This window comes from Homo sapiens, chromosome X (genome assembly GCF_000001405.40).
Source record: "Homo sapiens chromosome X, GRCh38.p14 Primary Assembly".
NCBI classification, from domain to species: domain Eukaryota; kingdom Metazoa; phylum Chordata; class Mammalia; order Primates; family Hominidae; genus Homo; species Homo sapiens.
This window is the reverse complement of record NC_000023.11, coordinates 69,064,487-69,085,514: the sequence shown is the minus strand read 5'-3', so window position 1 is coordinate 69,085,514 and position 21,028 is coordinate 69,064,487. Positions and strand designations below refer to the sequence as shown.

Here is a 21,028-nt window from a genome sequence, read left to right as displayed (position 1 = left end):
TGGGGAGTGACCTGCCCACAGTCACACAAGGAATGATGAAAATAAGATCCAAACCCAGGGCTCTGTCCCACCACAGTCTATGGTCATTCCACTGCTCCAGACCCTCCAGGGCAGGACTCAGCATCCTCCTGCCTCCAGGGTTGGGCAGCTCTCCTTTGCTGTATGCTGAAAGGCACGTCTACAGATTCCAGTGTGCATTTCTTTCCAACTTCTACATTCCTGGGAAGTTCTTTCTCATGTCTAAGTACAATCCTTCCTGCTGCCCTTCCACCCCAATTTTCTTCAGAGATGAGTAGAGAGAAGAAGGAGGAGGAGGAGAAGAAAGAGGAGGGGGTCATTCCTTCAGTTACTGCACAGTTATTTGTAATTTATTGAGGACTCTTTGTTTTCACTCATTTAAAAAGGTCAAAATGGTAAGGTTTTTTGTTCGTTTGTGTGTTTTAGAGACAGGGTCTCACTCTATTGCCCAGCCTGGAGTGCAGTGCTGCTATCATAGCTCGCTGCAGTCTCCAACTCCTGGCTCAAGTGATCCTCCTGCCTTAGCCTCCAGAGAAGCTGCGACTACAGACACATGCCACCAAGCCTGGCTAAAGTTTTAATTTTTTGGTAGAGACAGGGTCTCGCTTTGTTTTCCTGACTGATCTCAAACTCCAGGGCTCAAGCGATCCTTCCTAGTTGGTCTCCCCAAATGCTGGGATTACAGGTATCAGCTACTGTGCCTGGCCAAAATGGATTCCAATGTTATTTAAATCTCATGACAATTTTATAATGCAGATCTTATTATCCCTGTTTCTCAGACAAGAAACAGAGGTTTAGTGAGGGGAAATGATTAGACCAACACCCAGCAAGTAAATGATAAAGCTGGGATTTCAACTCAGATGGGCCTCCCAAGCCACCATCCCATATGCCCGTATGCCTGATGATCCATGACGAAACAAGGGCCTTTAGTAATTTAGTCAGCAGTTCAGGGAGGGGGCCCCCCAGCAAGTGCTCAGAGGGGACAGGCTGAAGAAACAGGACTCTGGTTAGGTGGCCTGATGATGATGGGAAGTGGTAACAACTGTCCAGGAATATCTATGAGAGTGAAAATAAAGGAAGGTGAGTGAGAGATGGGCCCAAGTGGCATTAGGGTCTGGGGCCTGGGTGCTTGTGCGATGCTGCCAGGAGCCTGGCCAACCTTGGCAGGGTCCACTTTGCCAACCTACCCTCAGAACTCCAGGTATGTCTCTTCCAGGCCACCCCTCTGCCTCCTACCCTCGGCCAACTCTGGGTGGCAGGCCTATGACTGCAAGACTGTGAGACAGTCTGTCCTCCAGAGCTGGGAGCTGGCACAACGTGAGGGCAATGGCACCCCAAGACCTAACTTAGAGATGATATCTGGGTGAGCCCTGCCGGCCCTCCCCACCCCTGCCTGGTGAGTGGAGGTGGGTGAGGCTGGGAAGAAGAGGAGAAGGTGGGGGAGGGGGAGGGGGAGTGGTTTGCTTTTTTTTCTCAGGCAGAAATGAGCTCATGTTTTGTCTAATCTAAATTCTGTCAAGCAAGCGAAAAAAAGAGAGACAGAGACAGAGAGAGAAAGAGAATGAGAGAGAGAGAGAGAGAGAGATAGCACGAGAGAGCAAGCTATAGAGTTAATAAATAAAAATCTGCCAAGCACATGTTCTTTCCAGCTCAGAGACAAATGAAAAGAAGAAGAAGAAGAAGAAAAAAAATACCAGGAGAGCTGAAAGGACAGACTAGACAGGGAATGTGTTCTCAGCTCACACAACTTCCTCTTCACTTCAACCAGAGAAAATTCTACCTCCAGTCAAACTCCCTGCTCACCCAGCCGGTCAGCTCCCTGCTCTGTGCCTGTGGAAGGGTGGGAGGGCTGGCCCCCAGGAGAGAGTCCATTCCTTCTCCTGACCCTCTGGCCTTCTTAGTGATTGAGGTGGAGGAGGGGTCAGGACACAGAATAGAGAGGCCTGGCCATGCCGGTCTCTGGCCCTGGTGGGGAGAGATGCCATACTGCTTAGTGGCCAGTGGGTAGGAGGACACCTTCCCAGCCAGCAAGGAAAGTCCACCAGGCCTCCCTGGAACAAGGCCCCCCAGGAAGTAGGCTGTGATGTAAGAGAAACGGGAAGGTCACACCTAATGATGAACTAACTTCTGTGGGGCGATCTCTGCCCTCTAAGCAAGCAAAGGCTTGAGAAAGGTAAGTTCTCATGGGCAGCCCTTCTTCCTCCCCAACCCCTCCCTGCCTATACCTTCTCCTGTCCCGCCTCCCCATGGTTGGAAAAGGCTGGCTGTGCAGTGTTGGAATGTGGAGCTATTCCTAGGGGGAGACAGGGAAGTGAGGGAAGCTGAATTGGCCATGCTGAGCAAGACGTTTCACTACTCAAGCAATAATAGGGCTTTCATGGAGATGGCCAACCTTGGGTTCTGAAGCGATTTTCCACCCACAACCCTCCTTCCTCCCGCCCTGAGTCGCCTTGCCTGAGAATCCTCCTTTGTTGGGCTGAGCCCTGGGGGGAGAGGGGCCGGGCTTTGTGAAGGGGGCCCCCAGGCCAGGCTGACTGGGCTCCTGTTGTCTGGGTGGAGCACATCTGGGCAGTGGAAGGGAACTAGGGCCAAGGCCAGGGCCAAGACAGCCAGCCCTTCCTTCCCAGAAAGCCCCGGGGCACAGGCCCTGCCTCTGCTTCTGGGTGCTGAGTTGCGTTTTGGGGCTGGCGTTTCCCACATTTCTCTGTGGGAGGGTCCTTGAGAGGACACAGGGATGAAATGGTGACTCTGTCCAGCACCCTTGGACAGAGAAGCCTATGCCGGAGCCACCTCTCACTACAGGTAGACACAAGGGCAAGGGTGGGGAGGATCCCAGGCCCTGACTTGGAGGGTCCGGGTCTGAGGAGCAGGACCTGGCAGGATAGGGGTGAGGCTGAGGCTGGGGCTGGGGCTGGGGCTTGGCCTTGGCCTGGCCGGGTAGGGTAATGAGATCCAGCTGGGAGGGAGTGAGAGGGGAGGGGGAGGAAGTAGAGGAGGAGGAGGAGGAGGAGGTTCCTTTATCTCTCTGCTCCATGTTCTCAGGGCCCACATTTTTTAATTTGTGTTGGATAAACAATATGGGATTGTGTACGCAAAGAAGCTCTAATTATCCCCCGAGGTTGTGTTTCCTTAGAGGAAATGAACTGGGCATGGCATTCGCGGTGGATCGGCAGAAATGTACCAGCCCAATAGCTTCCAGATTGCTGCTCAGGCGTGCCATGCTGGGAGCCCCTCCAGTGGGGCTGCTGACTCCATACCCCCATCTGGGTTTGGAGGTTAGCCTGTGCCCTGCCTGACCTAGACCTGGGAGGGCAGGGGAAGGGCTGCTTGTTCTTCAGCCTGACTTCTTCCCTGTGCACTAAGCCACTCCCAATCCCCATCGGCCTCACCTCTGTCCCTCTATTGTGAATGGTCAAGGGTATGGGATATGGGCCTCTGAAACAAGGGCTGGAGGTAGAGGTGACCCCTGCTGCCTCTATCCCTTGCCACAGTCCTCACTGAATTGTGTCCCTGAGCATTCCCCATGGGGAGCCTGTGTTTCCTTCCCTATCTCCCCATGAACATCATCCCCCAAACCACCACCACAGGGGGTAGTTTCCCATGGACACTGCCTCTGGGGGTGGGCGGGTGCAGGGGGAGTAACCCTGGGAGCCAGGCTTCTTTTGTGGGGGACTGGCCTCGTGGGAGCAGCTCCCCAGAGCTGCTTCAGCATGCTGGGACTTATGCACCCAGATCTTAGGCTGGGATAAGAATGAGGACCTGGGGTGACCAACCATTTGAGTGGGGCTTGTGAGGGAAAAGCCATGTAAGGGGGTAAGAAATGGCTGAGTGGGCTAAGTAGACAGAAGTGTTGACCCACAGATGAGTAAAATCTAATCAGTAGCCCTCCACCCGCTACAGTATATTCTTCTCTGTTCTCATTGAGGAATCCAACGCATTCCCAGAGACCAAATGAGGACACAGTCAAGAGTGGAGGAATTAAGTTTTGCTGCTGCTTGCTGTGTTCCCAGCCAGGAGCCAGCCCCTGCCTTCAACGAACTGAATGGCTGGGAGTATGGGGAGTCCTACAAAGGTGAACTGTGGGATGCTGTCAGGACTTACACGTGGGGATTCTTTGTCCTCCACGAAAGGCACAGGAAAGGCCGATCAAGCAGGTCCCAGGAGGCTTCCCTGGGGGAGCTGCAGGGACAACTGGGCCGGGCTGGCGCCCAGACAGCAGCGCCTGCTCAGACTCCGGGGATGGGCAAGGCAGTGGTGAGGGCGGAGGTGGGGAGGCGGCTGCCGGCCCTGGACCTGGACTGCTCCCACTCCAATGGAAGGTTCGCCCCCATGTCTCCCTTTTATCTTTTCATTACATACAAATTAGGAGTGCGATTAACTTTATTAAAAGCAAACAAAGCTGGTCAGAGAATGGGGCCTCCAGACAGAGCTGTGGGGGTTTGGGGAGGAGGAACCTGGGAGAGCAGGGGAGGGTTGTGGTTGCAGCAGTTAAAAGGGCAGGAGGTGAAGGGCTGGGGGAGGGGGCTTCCCTGCAGGATTCTCCATCCCCAGGGATCCCACCACTTTTATGGCCGTCTACAGCCTTCTGAAGTTATGCCAGCTCGGCCCAGCCTCCAGACAGAATTCCAGACTTTAAGAGCTAGAAGGAACCGTAGAGACCGTGGAGTCTACCGCTGCCCCCCACCCCCAGCTACAGATGGGGAAACTGAGGCCCAGAGAGGTGAAGGAATTAGCTGGAGCTCCACTGCCAGTAAGTAGTTAGGGGTAGTGTGATGAGAATTGAAGCTTTCTGTTTGCTCAGGGAGGGACGTCTATACCCTGCCTCACCTCCCCACAGTGTCTAGAAGGTCTGACCTAAATCCCTCTTGCTGCAGATAAATTCAATTTGTTTTGTCACACTTCAGTGGAGCTACTGACACAGACTAATATTTTGTGGACTCCAAAGTGGCCGTGTCCTGCTCCTTCAGCTTCCTCTTCTGTGGCTTTCATCATTCTGAGAGCTCCGGCCCCAACTGCTCTGGGGAGCCTTGATCAGCATCACGGCCACCACACTGATGAAATCCCCAGGCATTCGGGTGCCACTTCAAGTTCTTGGAAAGAATTTTCACAGGATGTCATTGTTTCCACCTGGAAACCAGAAATTAATCAATCCAGAAAATATTTATTGAATGCTTTCTTGTGCCCAGCAATGTGCTAAGTCCTGGGGATTCAGTGATAACAAGACGGATGTGGTCTTTGACTTCCTGGAGCTCATAGGGAAGAAACTGAGGTTCAGAGGGAACATAGCATGTCATTGATACTACTAAAAATAGCAGCAACATACAGATGAGAGACGATGCATACACACCCTACACATGCTTCTGCCCTGAGCCATTTTCCACAAACCTGGAAGCCATCCCAGGGCAGAGATGGCAGTGACCTGCCCCCTTTTCTTCTACTCTGTTGCCTGGGAAGTATCCCAGTGTCTCAAACCCATCTCCAGTGGCCCCTGGTGCCTTCCAGGACTTCCAGAAATGACATCGATATCATTGATTACTCACCACTCATCTTCAGACAGCTAAAAATAAAGGTTGCTTTTCTTTTTTCTTTTTCCTTTTTTTTTTTTTTTTGGCTAAAATCCCCTCTTGGCTTTATATATCAAGGTCTCTCACAATGCAAAATTGGTTCCAGGAGGAGTTTCAACTTCTCAAGGAAGCAGTTTGTAAGCACTTTAGAAACACCTACTAGAAACCACCTATTGACTCTTTATAGAAATGAATCAAATATGCTTAGCAACCCCCTTCCCTCAACTGAAGAGGTAAGAAATGAGTGGAGGCTGAACCATCCCTTACCCACCCCAAAATGAACCTTGCTATTAGGCTAAACCATGTGAAATAACCATTTTTGTAGGTCAGAAGTGGTCAAATATTAACAATTTCATACAGTTCAACCTGATAGTTTCCAACTGTTCTGAGTGAATCAGTAAAGTAAATCTTGCAAGGACTGTCTCGGGCAATAGCCTCCCTGTTGCATCATTACAGTGGACACTCTCAGCCCTACTACTGGGCAATCTCGATTGTTGGTGAATCATTATAATAGGCCCATGGAGGCTTCTTACTGGGCACTTTTTTTTTGTTGGCTATATAAGAGTTCCTTATGAAGTTGAATAATGGTGAGCGCCAAAATGTATGTGTCACTTTCCACGCGCCAGACCCTATTCTGAGTGCTTCACAAGTATTAACCCATGCAATCTTCGTAACTACCCTATGGGGTAAGTGTTATGATCACCCAATTTTGTAAGGTGGGAAACTAAGAGACAGGAATTAGGCAACATGTCCAAGGCCTCACCACCAATGCACTGTTAAACTAGGATTCGAACCCTGGCTGGCTGGAATGCTATGCTGTGTCTACACTTCTGACTTGCTCCTATGTCTGAGTCTGGTGCCATGTTCCTTCCTGGGCCAAGGGTTAAGGCCAGTTGATGTCTGCTCCCACCTGCCCCTGGATCCAATATGACGAGTGGTTGGACTAGATGACCTCAATGGGTCCTGTGGCCTCTGATAGTCTGTAGCTCTAGGATTCTTGGCAAACAGAAGGAGTTGACTGGGAGTCCATTAGTACTGAGCCCTATTGGTGGAAGCATGGCCCAGAGGTGGCAAGTCCCTGGCACTTCCTCCAGCACCCATGGTATCATGTCACTGATGCCCCTGAAGTCTTGCCATGGGCATCCGGAATTCTACTTCTGGCTCTGTTATAGCTGTTTGACTCCATCCCTCTGGCCTCAGTCTCCTCATCTATAAAAAAAGGGGAGAGTAGGGCTGGACAAGCTCACCTTTAGGGCTGCCTCTAGCTTTGTGGCTCTCTACCAGAGGGATGGAAGTTTGGTGCCTCTTTGTGTGGTACTTGGGCAGCCCCTGCCTCTGGAGGGGAAGAACAAGGGGCCATGTAGAACCAGCTGGCCGGGATGAGGCTGGGAAAAGAGCAGAGGAGGGTGGAGGGCAGCTGGCAGCTGGCAGCAGGCAGATTTGAGAGGCGATAGAAGGAGGAAAGGCAGCTAGGGAGGAGGCAGGAAGAAAGAAGAGAAGGAGGTGGGAGGGAGGGCACAGGAGGCAGGGAAGGGAAAGAATAAACACATAATCAGGGTTACTGAGTTTCCTGTGCAGCTGGAGTCATCTTTTGCTCTTCATAAACTCAGCTGCGGCTTCACCACCCACTCTGGATGGGTGGCTGCTGCTCCCAGTACAGCCTGCCTGAGACCTGAACAGGGCAGGAGGTGGGTGCCCATGCCTAGGTATCTGAGGCCCTTTACACTGAATGCCCACCTACAGGACGAGAGGCTGAGCTCAGCTGGCTTGGGAGCCATTCCTTTCCCCTGAGGCAACCTGGTGGGGAGCAGAGAATAGGGCATTGGAACGAGACAGGCTCCGGTTGCATTTACAACTCAATCACTTAAGAGCTGAGGGGCCCTGCACTTGTTCCCCCCACACACCCATCCCTGTCTCTGAGCCTGCTGTCTCATCTGCTAATGGGGCTATTAACTCCTCAGACACATGCAGTCTTATCTACACAGTGAAGGAGAAGACGGTTGGGGAGGTCTCCTAGCCCGTGCCTGCCTGGGTGGCTGTTCAACAGCTGGGGTTCTTTATTGTGTCCTGAACCCCCCACCTCTCTCCCCTGTCCAAGCTGATCTAAAGCCGGTAGCCACTCTAGCCTTACCCACCCCATCTCTGGCTTTTAGAGGCAGGAGGAGAGGGTGGAGTCAGACAGACTGAAGATGCCAATGGCTGTGGGGGAATTGTGGCAAGGGACCCCTCCCCTTGTCCCCAAGCCTTTGGGAACTCCTCTTCCCAAACTGCCCCTTTCCAAAGGTCTTGAGGGCAGGAGTAGGCAGAGGGGAAGGGCAAATACCACCGTGTTTCCCAATATCATTCATATGAGGGCATCTGGAGCCAGACTCTTAAAGGTGGGGTCCAGTCTTTAGAGGTTCCCTGATCTTATATGGAAAATTGGGCAGCTTGGTGCATTATTCTAGGGAGATGGTCCAAAGTGCTTATTAGGTTCTCAGAGGCTTCCAGAAAGTCAACATGAGCTGCTAATTATTAAGTGCTCATTGTATGCCAGGGACCATCTTAAGTGCTTTATAGCTCTTATCTCTACCCTTCAAACAGCTCCAAGAAGGAGGTGGGGTACCTAGATTCAGAAACAGCCACCTAGCTGGTAATCATTCAAGTCAGGATTTGAACCTAGGCTGTCTTGACATAAAAGCCAATGCTTAACCACTATGCTCTACTGCCTGCGAAGAGCCACTGAGGGGGCTCAGCTCGATGCACCATTCATTCATTTGTTCACTCATTTATTCATTCAACTTCCAACTTGCCCTGCTTTGTGTCAAGAACCATGCCAGTTGTGGAAAGACCACACATCCTTCTTGTATTCCTCCAAACTGCCCCAGAGAGGTTTGAGGAGAAGTCATTTAGCATAAGGGTGTCAGGCAAGACTGGCAAGGTGGTCACAGCCTGAAGGATCTCATTTGGTCCAGGCCTGAAATTACCAACAGGTCAGGACCAGCCTTGCACCAGTGAGGGCCTTTCTACTCAAGAGGACAAACCCCAATCTCAACATGAGGTTAGAGTACCCCTCGCCTTCCTGGAGGAATTGAGGTGATGATACCCCCATGGCATTCCTTCAAGACTGAGAGCTCTTGAAGTTAATAGGTGTTTTATGAAGCAGTGTAGTATAGTGCTTAAAGTGTGAACTGCCTGGAATCAAATCCCGGCTCTGGTACTGGCCAGCTATGTGACCTTGGGAAAATGGATTAACTTCTCTGATCCTTAGTTTTACCATCTGCAAAACGGGGCTGATGATGGTGCCCACCTGGGTGGCTGTCATGAGGATTAAATGAGCTAATGCCTGCACAGTGCTTGGAAGAGTGCACTCAACAGATGCCTGCTGTGCTCATTGCTCGTTGCCTCCAATCCTGGCCTCACATGGGGCCTCCCTCAAGAGGAAATCAACACTTCAGGATCTTGACTGAGGAAGGGTCAGAAGAGTCACCTAGGATGGGCCAGCGACCTAGCTTCTTCTACATGGCCCCAGAGTCATGATTCTAAACATAAGCCACTCCTTTGCCCACAGCCTTGCCATGGCTCCTGTTGTCTGCAGTATAAATTCCAGCTCCTTAGCAGAGCCTATGCATACCCACTCCCATCAGCTGGGCCATATCCAGATCTCTTCTCTTTTACCACTTCCTCTTTTGATGCTAAGGCTTTGGCCATATCAAACTTTGTTGTCAAAGCAAGGCCTCCTCTCTCCCACCCATTTGCTCATGATATTTCATTTATCTGGAATACCTTTCCCCAGCTTCCCTGCCTGCCAAATTCCCACTGACCCGTCACAGGGCATCCTTGCTAGAATGGAAGCTGCAGGAGGGCATTGCTGCACCCCCAACACCTGGAACCATCTTGATGCACAGTAACTGCTCAATAAATAGTCCCTTAATGTTGACTGCATGGATGAGTCAAGTTCAAATGTCACTTCCTTTGTGAGGTAGCCCAGGAAAAGCACATTGGTGCTAGCAGCATGCTTTTCTATCCCTGTCAGTATGTACATCCTTTTGTCTGGTCATGGTTTCCTTACTTGTCTTATCTTCCCACTAGCCAGGGAGCCTCGTGAGGCCAAGAACCTCAGCTGAAGCATCTTGGAATCACCTACTGCACAGGTGCTCACTCCCCTGGCTGCATCTCTGTCAAACTCAACATGTGTGGAGCTTCTACACAATGTCTGTGTCCCAGACCCAGTTCAGGTTAATTAAAGTAGAGTCTAGGGGATAGAGCCCATGCATGGGCATTTTCAGAGCTCCCAGCATGATGAGCCTAATATACAGGGTGGAGAACTGCTGGAACAAGCATTCTGTGTCTGCCTGTTGGTCAAATGGCTCTGACTCCTCCTGGCCTGTGAGCTGGCCTCTGAGGGGACCAGCACTGGCTCAAAGGGACCCCAGAAAGGGCATCTGAGGAAGCTGGGTCTCCAGCCAGCCCCAGCATAAAAAAGAACACATAGTTGGCCATGCGTGGTAGTTCACGCCTGTAGTCCTAGCATTTGGGAGGCTGAAGCAGGAGGATTGCTTGAGGCCTAGAGTTTGAGAACAGCCTGGGCAGGGAGACATCTGTCTTTACAAAAATTAAAAATAAAAAATTAGCCAGGCATTGTGGCATGTGCCTGTAGTCTCAGTTAGCCAGGAAGCTGAGGCAGGAGGATCACTTGAGCCCAGGAGTTCAAGGCTGCAGTGAGCTATGTTTATGTCACTGCACACCAGCCTGGATGACAGAGCAAGACTCTGCCTCTAAAAAAAAAACAAAAACAAACACAAACAAATACAGAGAAAGCCGTGTTTTCTCCCTAGGGCAGGGAGAATGAATGAAACCACCACACCACTGCCTGGCATCACTTGTGTCCTTCGACTCAAGTGTGTCTAAGCCAGCCTGGCCCTTGATAAGTCCAGTTTGAGCCAGTCAGGCTGCCTTAACAGCAGGCACAGAGGGCCTGAGACCAGAGGGGAAGAATGACCTGGTCAGAGGGGCACGGTGTCAGTTGGTGAGCCCTTGGGTCTGCCTGGCCTGCACAGTGGGCATCACCTGGGCATCAGCACCTGCAGGCTGGTGCAGTGAAAGAGCCCTTGAGCCAAGAATGTTAACAAACATGCATTACTCTATGCCAGGCCCCACAGTGAGCACTTACATGCGTTGTTCCACTTCATCCTCTCAACAAGCCTGTGAGGTAGATATTATCATCCCCATTTAACAGATGAGGAAACTGAGGCTCCTATGAGTTAAAGCCCTTGCTTAAGGGACACAGTCATTAAGTACTCTCAAGTGCCAAAGCCCAGGTTTGAATCCAAGCTTGACTACTTAGCAACCAGGCTAGACTAGAGCTGTGACTAAAAGGTCAAGTTCATAGCCCCTTTGCTGTTACTGTCTGTGACATTGGGCCAGTCCTGCCTCCTTCTTGGACCTCAGTTTCTCATTCATTGAGCAAGGGTGGGAGGTAGGGGGATGTTAGTGGCTGGTCTGGATGGTTTCTGGGGTTTTTTCAGCTGCAGGCTCTATGGATCTCTGACAAGGCAAAAAAAATCAACTATTCTCAGCCTCCACACTCAAAGGCAATAACTTTGCTTGGAAATGTCCAAAGCAAGACTCAGAGCAACACTTGTCTGTCACCTCAGGCCCTGGGAGACAGCAAAACTACAAACAGCCAATCATTATATTTACTCTTTAGTGTCAAGTGCTGTCCTAAGCACTTTGCAAACAATCTGTTTAATCTTTGTGCCAACCCTATGATATAGTTACCACCATCTTCATCCCCATTTGACAGATGAGACAATGAGGTTAGAATGCTTAGGTAACTTGCCCAAGGCCACATAACTAGTAAGTGGCACAACCACGATTCAAACCCTGGCCACCTGGCAAAGGAGCCTGTGTCTTAACCACTATGCATTGGGCTCAACACTTTCCAGAAGGATGGCTGGATGGGCAAGAGGAGGGAGAGACCTCATTCTGCACTCTGGGGCCCCAAAGGCGAGTCAGGCTTGGCCCTGGACACCAGCCTTTCAGCCTTTCTTTTCCCAGTGTCCTCAGGAACAGAGGGAAGGCTAGTGTCCTCTCCTCAGGGCCCAGGCACTTACATGGGGGCAGAGTAGGGAGAAGAGGCTCCCAGGTAGGGCAAAAGCTGAGCCTGGGTCAGAAGTCAAGACGGTCTGTGTTAATTTTCCAGCTTTGCCACTTACTAGATGCATGACCTTGGGTTGGACATTTAACTTCCCTTACCTCAGTTTCCTTAGAAATAAAATGGGCTTAATAATTATGCCTACCTCTAAGGTTGTTGGGAAGAATAATTCTGTTAATGCATGTGAAGTGCAGAAAATAGGGTCTGGCATACTGTGAGGATCAAGGCCACATGGGCCGGGCCCACAGGAGAGCCTGAGTGTGGGTAGGCCCTGGCACCCTCGTGCCCAGTCACCTAAGTGGTGCTTCACTGAGGCAGTTTGTGCCTTGATGGTTGCTCAGCAGGCTCATTCAGAGAATCTGCCACTAGCCTGGAGGACACAGCAAAGAAGCAGGGCCAAGCCTTCCCCTAGCAGTGAGTGTAGAATAATGGAGAAGAGAGAAAAACCACCCAGTTCAGCTTGGCCAAAGTCGAGGGCCACCAGCCAGCAGACTCTGGCTCTTGAAAGTGACTTCAGGTGGATAGGAGCTGTGTCTGCCCTTCCCACGTCCATCCACTCATTGCCTGCAGGAGGGGAGGTAGGCCAGGTTCTTAAGGGCTTCCCCGACCCAGACCTGACCCCCAGGCTAGGTCACGAACCTCTGTCATATGCCCTCCTAGCAGCCTGCACCTCCCCTTCAGAGTACTCATCCTAACTGTAACTAAATCTTTATTTGATTATTAGTCATTGAACATTTGTACCCCAGCCCCCACTGACTAAACCCTCCAGGAGGGAGGCAATGGTGTCTGTCTCCTCTGCCACTGTGCCCCAGAACGCAGCACTGTATATAGTAGATGTCCAAGGAAAAAATGTTGAAGGAAAGGACGAATGAATGCCATCCAGCCGTTGGGATGGGGGTGCTTAGTATCTATCTCTAAGGTTTGAAGGAAACACCCCCATGTTGGGTCCTATTGCTGAGCCGGAGAGAACAGCCAGCCTATGCGCTCTCAGTGCCTTTTAGGCCCCATCTCAGCGAGCTCACACTTCCTCCCTTCCTCTCCTCACCCCTTCTTCCTGTCCTCCCCCATCTGTCAGCAGGACTGGCCAGTGGACATCAGCAAGATAAAAATTGTGCCTGCAGGGCTGAGATGGTACCTGATGCCAGGAGAGGCAGGCTGTGTGCAGGGCTGCCTGTGCCTCCACCAATCCCAGCCAGCCAGCCTTTGTGTGTCCTGGGGCCCATCCTGGAAGGGCTAGAGAAGTGCACCCCAGTGGCTCACCAGGAGTCTTTGGCAGATGAAGCTATCAGGGAGGTTTTGGAGGCCTGTGGGGAAGAAACTTCATTATTAGACAGTAATGAGCCACATTATCTGAAAATTTGGAGGGATATAGAAACACGTGCCTGATATCTGGTGAAGCAGAAAGAAAACAAAACACTCCCATGGTAATGCTCTATTTCATAACCTGGTCAGTGATACCACAGATGCTCACCTTATTCCCAGCCTTTAAACAGTGTTAGCGTTACATACATTCTTTTGTATGTATAATATATTTTATCATTTAAAAAATTTTAAGGCAGTCTATCATTAAACACCCAGATTCCAGAAGTCAAGACGGTCTGTGTTAATTTTGCAGCTTTGCCATTTACTAGATGCATGACCTTGGGTTGGACATTCAACCTCCCTTTACCCCAGTCTCCTTAGAAATAAAATGGGCTTAATAATCATGCCTACCTCTAAGGTTGTTGGGAAGAATAATTCGCTAATACATGTGAAGTGCAGAAAATAGGGTCTGGCATACAGTAGGCATACAATAAGTGTTAACTGTTGTTAGCATATATATTCTCAAGTATGTTAAAATGTATCTGTGTGTATAGGTATTAATATAGCTACACAGGGCTCTGGAGATAGGCATAGACAAATGGCAGCAGGTAATAAACCAAAATGTGAACAGGAATTATATCTGGATAGTTAGGTGTGGGAAATGTTATTTTTGTCTTCCTTATACTTTTTTGTACCTCCCAAACTTTCTGTAATGAGCCTGATTAACTTTTGCAAACAGAAAAAAAAAAAACTCTCAAAAATTTCATCAGTACATAGTGGCCTCATCAATGTTAAATCATCAAAACGGAAATGTAAACACATTTAAAAGGGACAATAAGAGCTGCCCCTAGTCCCAGGACATATCTGCCGAGGGAAGGCCCAGAGAGGTGTGGGGCCCAGTGGAGAAATCCCTTTGCTCTGCCACTTCAGCCTCTTCTTAGTTTGAGGACACCCCAACCTCCCTCTGTTGCCTGGAGTGACCCATCCCCCACCAGACCACTGTGTCCTGCGGAGCCCGGGCAAGGAGGCTGGTGGAGGAAGGGCTGAGCTCTTGAGGGCCTCTGAGAAGCCAAGACCATTTCATTCCTCCCTCCTCGTAGGAGATAGCATTAGTACCAGCTCAGTGGAGCCCCAGCTGCTTCTGAGGGGCTGCCTTCCAGCTCGTGGGTGGAGGAGGGAGGCAGCCCCAATTGCACCCAGTGTAGGAGACAGGGTGAGGGCGGGGACGCATCTATGGGGAGCTGGGGGGAGGGAACCAGGCTGAAGGGACTGCCCAGGCTGGCTGCTGGGAGGTGGCTGCAGAGATTGGTGGGACGGAAGAGCAGAGATGGGATTCTGCCCAACTCAACTGGAGCTGGGGAAGCGAGGGAGGCTGGGATCTGGGCTGGATCAGTGCCAGGGCCCTGGGACAGAAATAGGCCAGGCCACTGGGTTTCCAGATCAGTCCTGCTCTGCCTGCCTGGCTAGGCCACTCATAAGGAAGGAGCCACGTGGACGCTGGAGAAGGCAGCTCTGTCAGCATCCGGTGGGCAGAAAGATGAGGCAGTCAGAGCCAGGGCACCACTGCCATCACCCTCTGCCCCCTCATTTGGCCATGTCTTTATAGGACTTATCACAGCTGATGTTATATTAGATATTTGTTGTTTACTGACTGTCTCTCCTCTCTAGAAAGGGCACTCTTCAAAGGCAGGGACTTTGTCTCTTCTCTTCACTGCAGCACCCTAATGCCCCAGAACAGTGTCTGGCACATAGTAGGTGCTTGATTAGTCTTTTTTCATAGTAGGTGCCTGATTAGTCTTTTTTCAGTGGACAAGTAAATGACCAACACCCCCTCCCTGATGTGGGGCTCGCAAGGTAGGCAGGGCAGGCAGGCAGTAGTAATTACCTTCATTTTGGTAGTTGAGAAAGTGGAGGCTCACAGAGGTTAAAGGACTTGCTTAATGTCACACAGTTAGGAAATGGCAGATCTTAGATTCAAACCCAGGAGTCACAAACTTGATTTCTTTTTTCAATATTACACTGACTCTTTGAAAGAAAGAAAGTCAGTTGGCTACCGGGCAGGTGCCACACGGGCATCCTGTGGGTACATGCGCTACAAAGATAAAGGCCATAGCCATGCTGAGTGAGTCCTGGGATGGGACTTGGGGACTTCTCTCCACTGCTGGTGACACTTATTTAGGAAAACTGAAGACTCTGGTCACTTGGGGCCTCTGAAGGCCCTGCCTCTACTGAGTGAGATGTGACCCAGCCATTCCTACTGACTGGGCCTCGATGTTCCAAGGTATGAAATGCGTAGAGAGAATGGGAATAGTGTTTCAACTTAGGCTTGGTGATCAGACTGCATGGGTCCTCCTTTGGTGACTGGGTTACAGCTCAAACTGGGGAACAAATGCCAGCCAAGGGACCAAATATGGGCTGACAGCGGGCAGAAAACATGTAGAAGGCTCCTACTTGTAGAAAGAGGCTGGCATAGGTCACTTCTCTGCATCCTTTGGGACCTGTCTCCCTTCCATGCCATCCCTGAGTGACCTAACCATCCAGGAGGGCCACCATGCCAGCCTCTGCAGGGCAGAGGGGCTAGGATGAGGCAGCCCTTTTCCCATGTCATGAAGAATGTTCTGGTCTGTCTGCCCTCCCAGGAAGTGAGTAAATGGGCTTTGGACCTCTCCTCACATCCTATAACCCCCTAAATAGAGACATTTTGGCTGGGATGGAGAATTCTTTTCTCCTGGTCTGAAGCAGCTGTTCCACTTAACCAGGCCAAATATTGTCCTCAGGCCCTCTGAGAGCAGAGCCTGTCACCTTCCTTCCCAATGGAAAGATCATGGCTCTGGGAGTGCTCTACTGCTAGGATGTAAGACAGACAGACAAACACACACACACACACACACACACACACACACACACACACACACACACACACACACTTTGGCCTGGAACCTGAAAGCTCACCTCCCTAAAGCATGGGGAGCTTTAGAGTCCTATCTAGAGCCTAGGGCAGGGCTGCTGGCTGGTGGCTGAGCTGGCACTGCCCCTGACTTGTGGGGCCCAGAGGAGAAGATATGGCTAGAGGCTCCCAGATTGCTGGGTAAAATGTGGGAAGTATCTTGGCTGGGAGGGAGGCACCCTCACCCTGGCCATTGCCTGATCCAGGCCTGCAAAGGAGAGCAGAGAAGGGCTGGCTCAGCAGACCTTGTACAGCCTAGCCGGACTAGTAGAAAAAGCTTGGATGGCAGGAAGAAGCTTCCTTGGGGGGCCCGAGGACCCTTCCCTGGGCTTGGGCAGGTGGCAGCTATGGAGGTTTTGAACTCTTGCCCGGAAGCCTGGCTTCCCTGGGCCTGGTTGGCTGAGAAGGGAGGGATTGGAACTTCGGGTTGATGGACAGGTGGTGGCTGGAAGGAGGCAGCACGTCAGGATGGTGCGGCCTCAGTGAGAGTAAGGACAGGGCAGAGGGTGCAGGAGGCAGGTGTGCAGATAGGTCCAGGAGGAAGTGGGGAAGGTTGACCACCTTTACTCAGAGCCAACTGAAGGGGCCTGATGGGCCTCACAATGGCCCTGGGTCCTTTTCCTTATGGCTTCCCGGCTAGTGGGCTAGGCATGCTGGGCCATCAATAAAACCCTGGGGAAACTGAGGACCCAAGGAGAAAGGCGAGGGCCAAACTAGGATTCTGGAGCCCTCCCTCCCAGCTGCGGACTTGCTCTGGCAACAGGCTGGGATCATCCCAAGCAGCAGTGTTTGGGGACAGAGCCTCCCAATTATTGTTGTGCCACATGTGTTATAGGTCTCTGGGGGTGCTCACCCCCTCAGCCCTCAGGGAGGCAAAGTGAGGCCTGAGGAGGCCCTAGCCTCCAGGGCCCCTCCCCCTATTTTGCTATACAGATGGTGTTGCTTTTCCTCTGTGGGCCCTGAAGGAAAAAGGCTGGGAGAGGGAGACAAAGGCAGGGAGGAGCAAGTGGGGACCAGGAGTCAGCCACAGCTGGGACGCCTCAGGCCAGATCCCTGGCCCCAGCTCCCATCCTGCTCCCACCCCTCTCTCCACCCCTCCTCTTTGCCCTTCTGCCTTTTGCTGGTTTTCTCCATGTCTGTCGTGTCTCCCTTGCCCTTTGACTCTGGTTTTGTCTCTGTTTCTCCATCTCTTTGCCTCTAGGCCTTTCCTTGTCCTATCTATCTCCCGGTCTCAGTATCTCTCTGATTCCGTGTCTGTTTCTCTTGCCCAGTCTCTATCTCCCTCTTTCTGGTTCTCACTGGCTCTACCTTTCTTTACCTCCCTTTATCTCTCTCTCTCTCTCTCTCTGTCTCTTACAGCTGCTCTGCCTTCAACTCTGTGTGTGTGAGACCTGCTCTGCTCTGCCCCCTGTGCCTGGCTGGCAGCTCCTGGAAGCTGGAAGCAGGGTGGCAACTCCCACTGTCCCCTCACAGGATCAACTAGAAGCCCAAACTGCAGGGTTCCATGGCCCAGTGGGTTCACTCAGGCCTGCTTGGGATCCAGGGGCTGGGGCAGTACCTGCCACCGCTGTTTGGGGAAGAGGTGGGGACACAGGCAGACAGAGGCACAACCCCCGTGGCAAATCACCCCACAATATTCCCCAAACCTCCTCAGGCTACCTCCTTCAGTTGAGCTTATTCCCACAAGCTGCTCAGATTGCAGCCTGTACCTGGCCTCATGGTCAGGCATGTGTGGGACAGGAAATTGCTAGTCAAAGTGATAAGGCCCAACTGTCAGGAAGGCCTATGTTGCAGCCATGCTGGGACCCTTGGGCAGTGGTGCAAATCTGGCATCTGAATTCCAAATCCTAGCTTTACACCTAGTGACTATGTGAGCTTGAGCTAGCAGAGGCACCTCTCTGAGCACTGGTTTCAGGTACCCTAAGGCCTAAACCAAAGGATGGTTTTGAAGATTAAAGAGGATGATGTTTGGAAGATACAACTACTGTCCTGGGCATCTAGGAGAGGCTGGCTGCGTGGGACACTCCTCCTTCCCCCTCCTTCCCTTCACCTTTCTGCCCACTTGGGCTGTTGATATTAGGGTTAGCCTGAAGATTGCTGGGTGTCTGTGCACAAGTTAGTGAGGCTCTCTGGGCCTTGGCTTCATCCCTGATTCTTCCAGAGGGTCAGTCGGAGTGAGGTAGTGGCTGCAGTGGCAGCGGGGCCAGGGCAGGGGCCCCACTGAGGTTGAGCTGGGTGGGGAGTCCAGAGTGGTGGTGGCGGCTGGGGGTAGTGGTGGGCAGTCCTGCCTCTAAGAACATGTGCTCTACCTCACAAGAGGCTCTGAATCATAGACAAACAGCTCTGCAGCTCTGCCTGCCTCATCCTCCAGCCCCAGCCATACTTGGAATTCCCAAAGTTTGTTTTTTCCTATTTTTCATTGCTGTGAGTTTCAGAAACGCCCACTGCCAGAGCCAGCCTAAGAGGAGCAATTTCTATCTCACAGAATTTGAGGTCAGGGCTGGTGGGACCTTGGAGGGTACCTAGGTCAGTCCTACCTCCCCCTCCCTGCCCCCACAGCCTGACAAATGGGACTTAGAGGCCTAGAAGAGAAGGAGTGACTGGCTACAGGGCCCCCTGCAAGTCAGTGACAGAGCTGAGTTTAGAATCAGGTCTCTTGACTCCCAGCTATGCGTTCATTCCAAGTGCGCCCCTGCTCATTGGCTCACTCACACTCTGTGTTCTCTCACACCCTCTGTTTGTCCCCTCTGTTATCTATGTATCTGCCTCTGTCCTTCTCTCTCCCTCCTTCACTATGCAATGCATTCTTCCTTCCTCAACAAGAGTTTGAGCAGTTAAGACCTGCAACTAAATGGAACTTCTTTCAGTGCCCCTCTGCCCCAGGCTGCCAAAGGTGAGTGGCCTGTTGGCTGGGCCTGCATGTGGGGGTTCCATCTTCTCTGGAGTAACCTCCTACTCTCCCTTCAACCAGGAGATACTGGCATCAAATCAGGCCACTAGGCAGGCAGGCCCAGCCCCACAGGGCTCTGAGGTCTTCCTGAGACAGGGCATCAGCAGTTACTCCTCCTCTCTGCCCACCTGCCTTGCCAAGCAAAGCCTAGGGCAGAACTAGAATTGACACTCACTTCAGTGAAGGGGTAGGATTTGCAGACACCCCCTACCGAGGGAAATCCTGCCCAGGTTAAAGACAGAAATTCATACCGTCAGGGCCTGGCTCCTGCACACGCTTCCCAGCCTCTGCCCTGGACCCTCCCAACCAAGTCCAGCCCTGCTCTCAAAAGTCCCGCCATAGCTCTAAGTAGCAGGGTTGGTGGGCGGAACAAAAGTCCATCTGTCCCCTACTAAAAAGCCAGGTGGGAGCTCCTGCCTAGAGTCACACAGGTGGCATGTACAACACACGGCCAGACATTCTGATGTCAACTTGACACAGATGCCTTGTACCAGAGAGGATGGAGAAGCATCTGCCATCAGGCACTTTTCCAGTGGGACTGCCCCGCCCTGGCATCTGGAGGGAGAGCCCTGGGCAAAGCTTAAGGCTTGGAATAGATAGATCTCAGTTTAAATCCAAATTGGGATGTTCTTGCTGGGTGACATTGGCCAAGTTACTTAACCTGTCTAAGCCTCAATTTCCCCACCCGTCAATGCCCTGCCCTCTCACTGTTCAAGGCTCTAGGAGGGCAGTACCTACTAAGCACATGCAATTGGAAGATATGTCAGGGGAAAGAATTCCCACCAGAGGCTGGTGTGTAATGAGGTGGTGAGCAAGGGAGTGAGCAGAAAAGGATTGGGGATTAGCTGACTGGAAACTCAATGAGTCAGCAACCGGACCTGGTGGCCTGAAGAGCTCCTGCATCAGCTGATGGCTGGGGGCTGGGTGCAAGGGAGGCATCTCTTCTACTCACTGGGTATCCCTCTGGAGGTGTGGTGGCTGGGTCATGGCCAAATGGATGCCTGTTTAGAGGAGAGCAGGCTACAGAGGAGACTGACTCCTTGGCCTTCTGAAGTCCCCAGCACTGTCACCAGCCTATACAGTGTCATAGTGCAAGGTGGCAAAAAGCACCTCCTTTGGATGCATGCAGCCTTGTACCAGGGCACATGGCTTAGTGAGTGCAGCGTGGGCTCGATTTCAGCTCCCACTGTCCCCTTGGCTGTGTGCCCACATGGCTGTCTTAATGTCCCTACCATTGACTTACCCAAGCTTTTATTCATTTAATAAATGCGAGTTGAGCTCCTACTATGTGCCATATGTAGGCAGTTTCTAAGTATTGAGGAGTGGCCCCAGAAGCTAGGGATGCTTGCTCTGAAGGAGCAAAGATTACGGCACATCTACAAAGTTCTCTGACTAAAGGCTCTCTGCACTTTTGCTCAGAACTAAGCTTCAAATGAATGGATATTTACTGAATGTCCGCAAAAGGGCTGACTGATTGTGGGCCCTAGCATGAGTCACTGTCTCTCTCTGAGCCTCAATTTCTCCATCTGCAAATGAAGGACCCAGGCTAGATGGACTGTAAGGAAACTTCTAGCTTCTCAAATCCTGCAGGGTGGCCGGGGGAAAGGAGAGCAGACACTGATGGTATGGCTCAGAGTGAGGGCCTGGTCTAGAGAATCTTGGTGGTCCTTTTCAGCCCAAGACTCAGCTGGCTTCCCACATTCCTTTCCATCCCTCCCAGCAGTCTTGCTACAGCCACACTAATGTCATCTGCCCTGCAGCCACCATGGCCTCTCTAAGCACCATGTTTTTGCTCAGGCTGTGCACTCAGCCTGGAGTGCCGTTTCCTATTTCTGCCAGTGAAACCCCACTCAACGTGGATGTTGCAGAGATGACTTCAGTATAAGATGAATGGAGGGATGGGTTTGGACTAGATGTTCTCCACCTCCCTCCCAGCCCAGAGTGTCTTGTATTTGCCAGGGAACTCTAGGAAGGGGCTACTGCTGTCCAAGGGATTCTGGGGGCCGAGATACCCAGGCCTCAGGCATACAGCTCTGGGCTCTGGGACTCCTTGTACTGCCACCACCCAAGGCTTTTCTCCCCGATAGTCTGCTTTTGGGGACATTTCAGAG

The 21,028-nt window shown here is 51.7% G+C and overlaps 1 long non-coding RNA gene across 6 annotated transcripts in view; it reads left to right on the top strand.

Moving 5' to 3' along the window:
* Nucleotides 1-1,005: 1,005 nt before the first annotated feature.
* The window catches only part of LOC105373242 (uncharacterized), a 53,390-nt gene continuing 33,367 nt past the window's right edge, over nucleotides 1,006-21,028 (top strand). Inside the window, exons 1-6 of one of the 6 annotated variants that reach the window (XR_007068260.1) lie at nucleotides 1,006-1,098; nucleotides 1,235-1,414; nucleotides 1,668-2,820; nucleotides 3,944-4,090; nucleotides 4,600-4,768; nucleotides 4,893-5,603. This is a non-coding gene — a long non-coding RNA (uncharacterized LOC105373242). The other 5 variants (XR_005647091.2, XR_005647088.2, XR_001755876.1 and 2 more) reach the window with 5 other exon arrangements.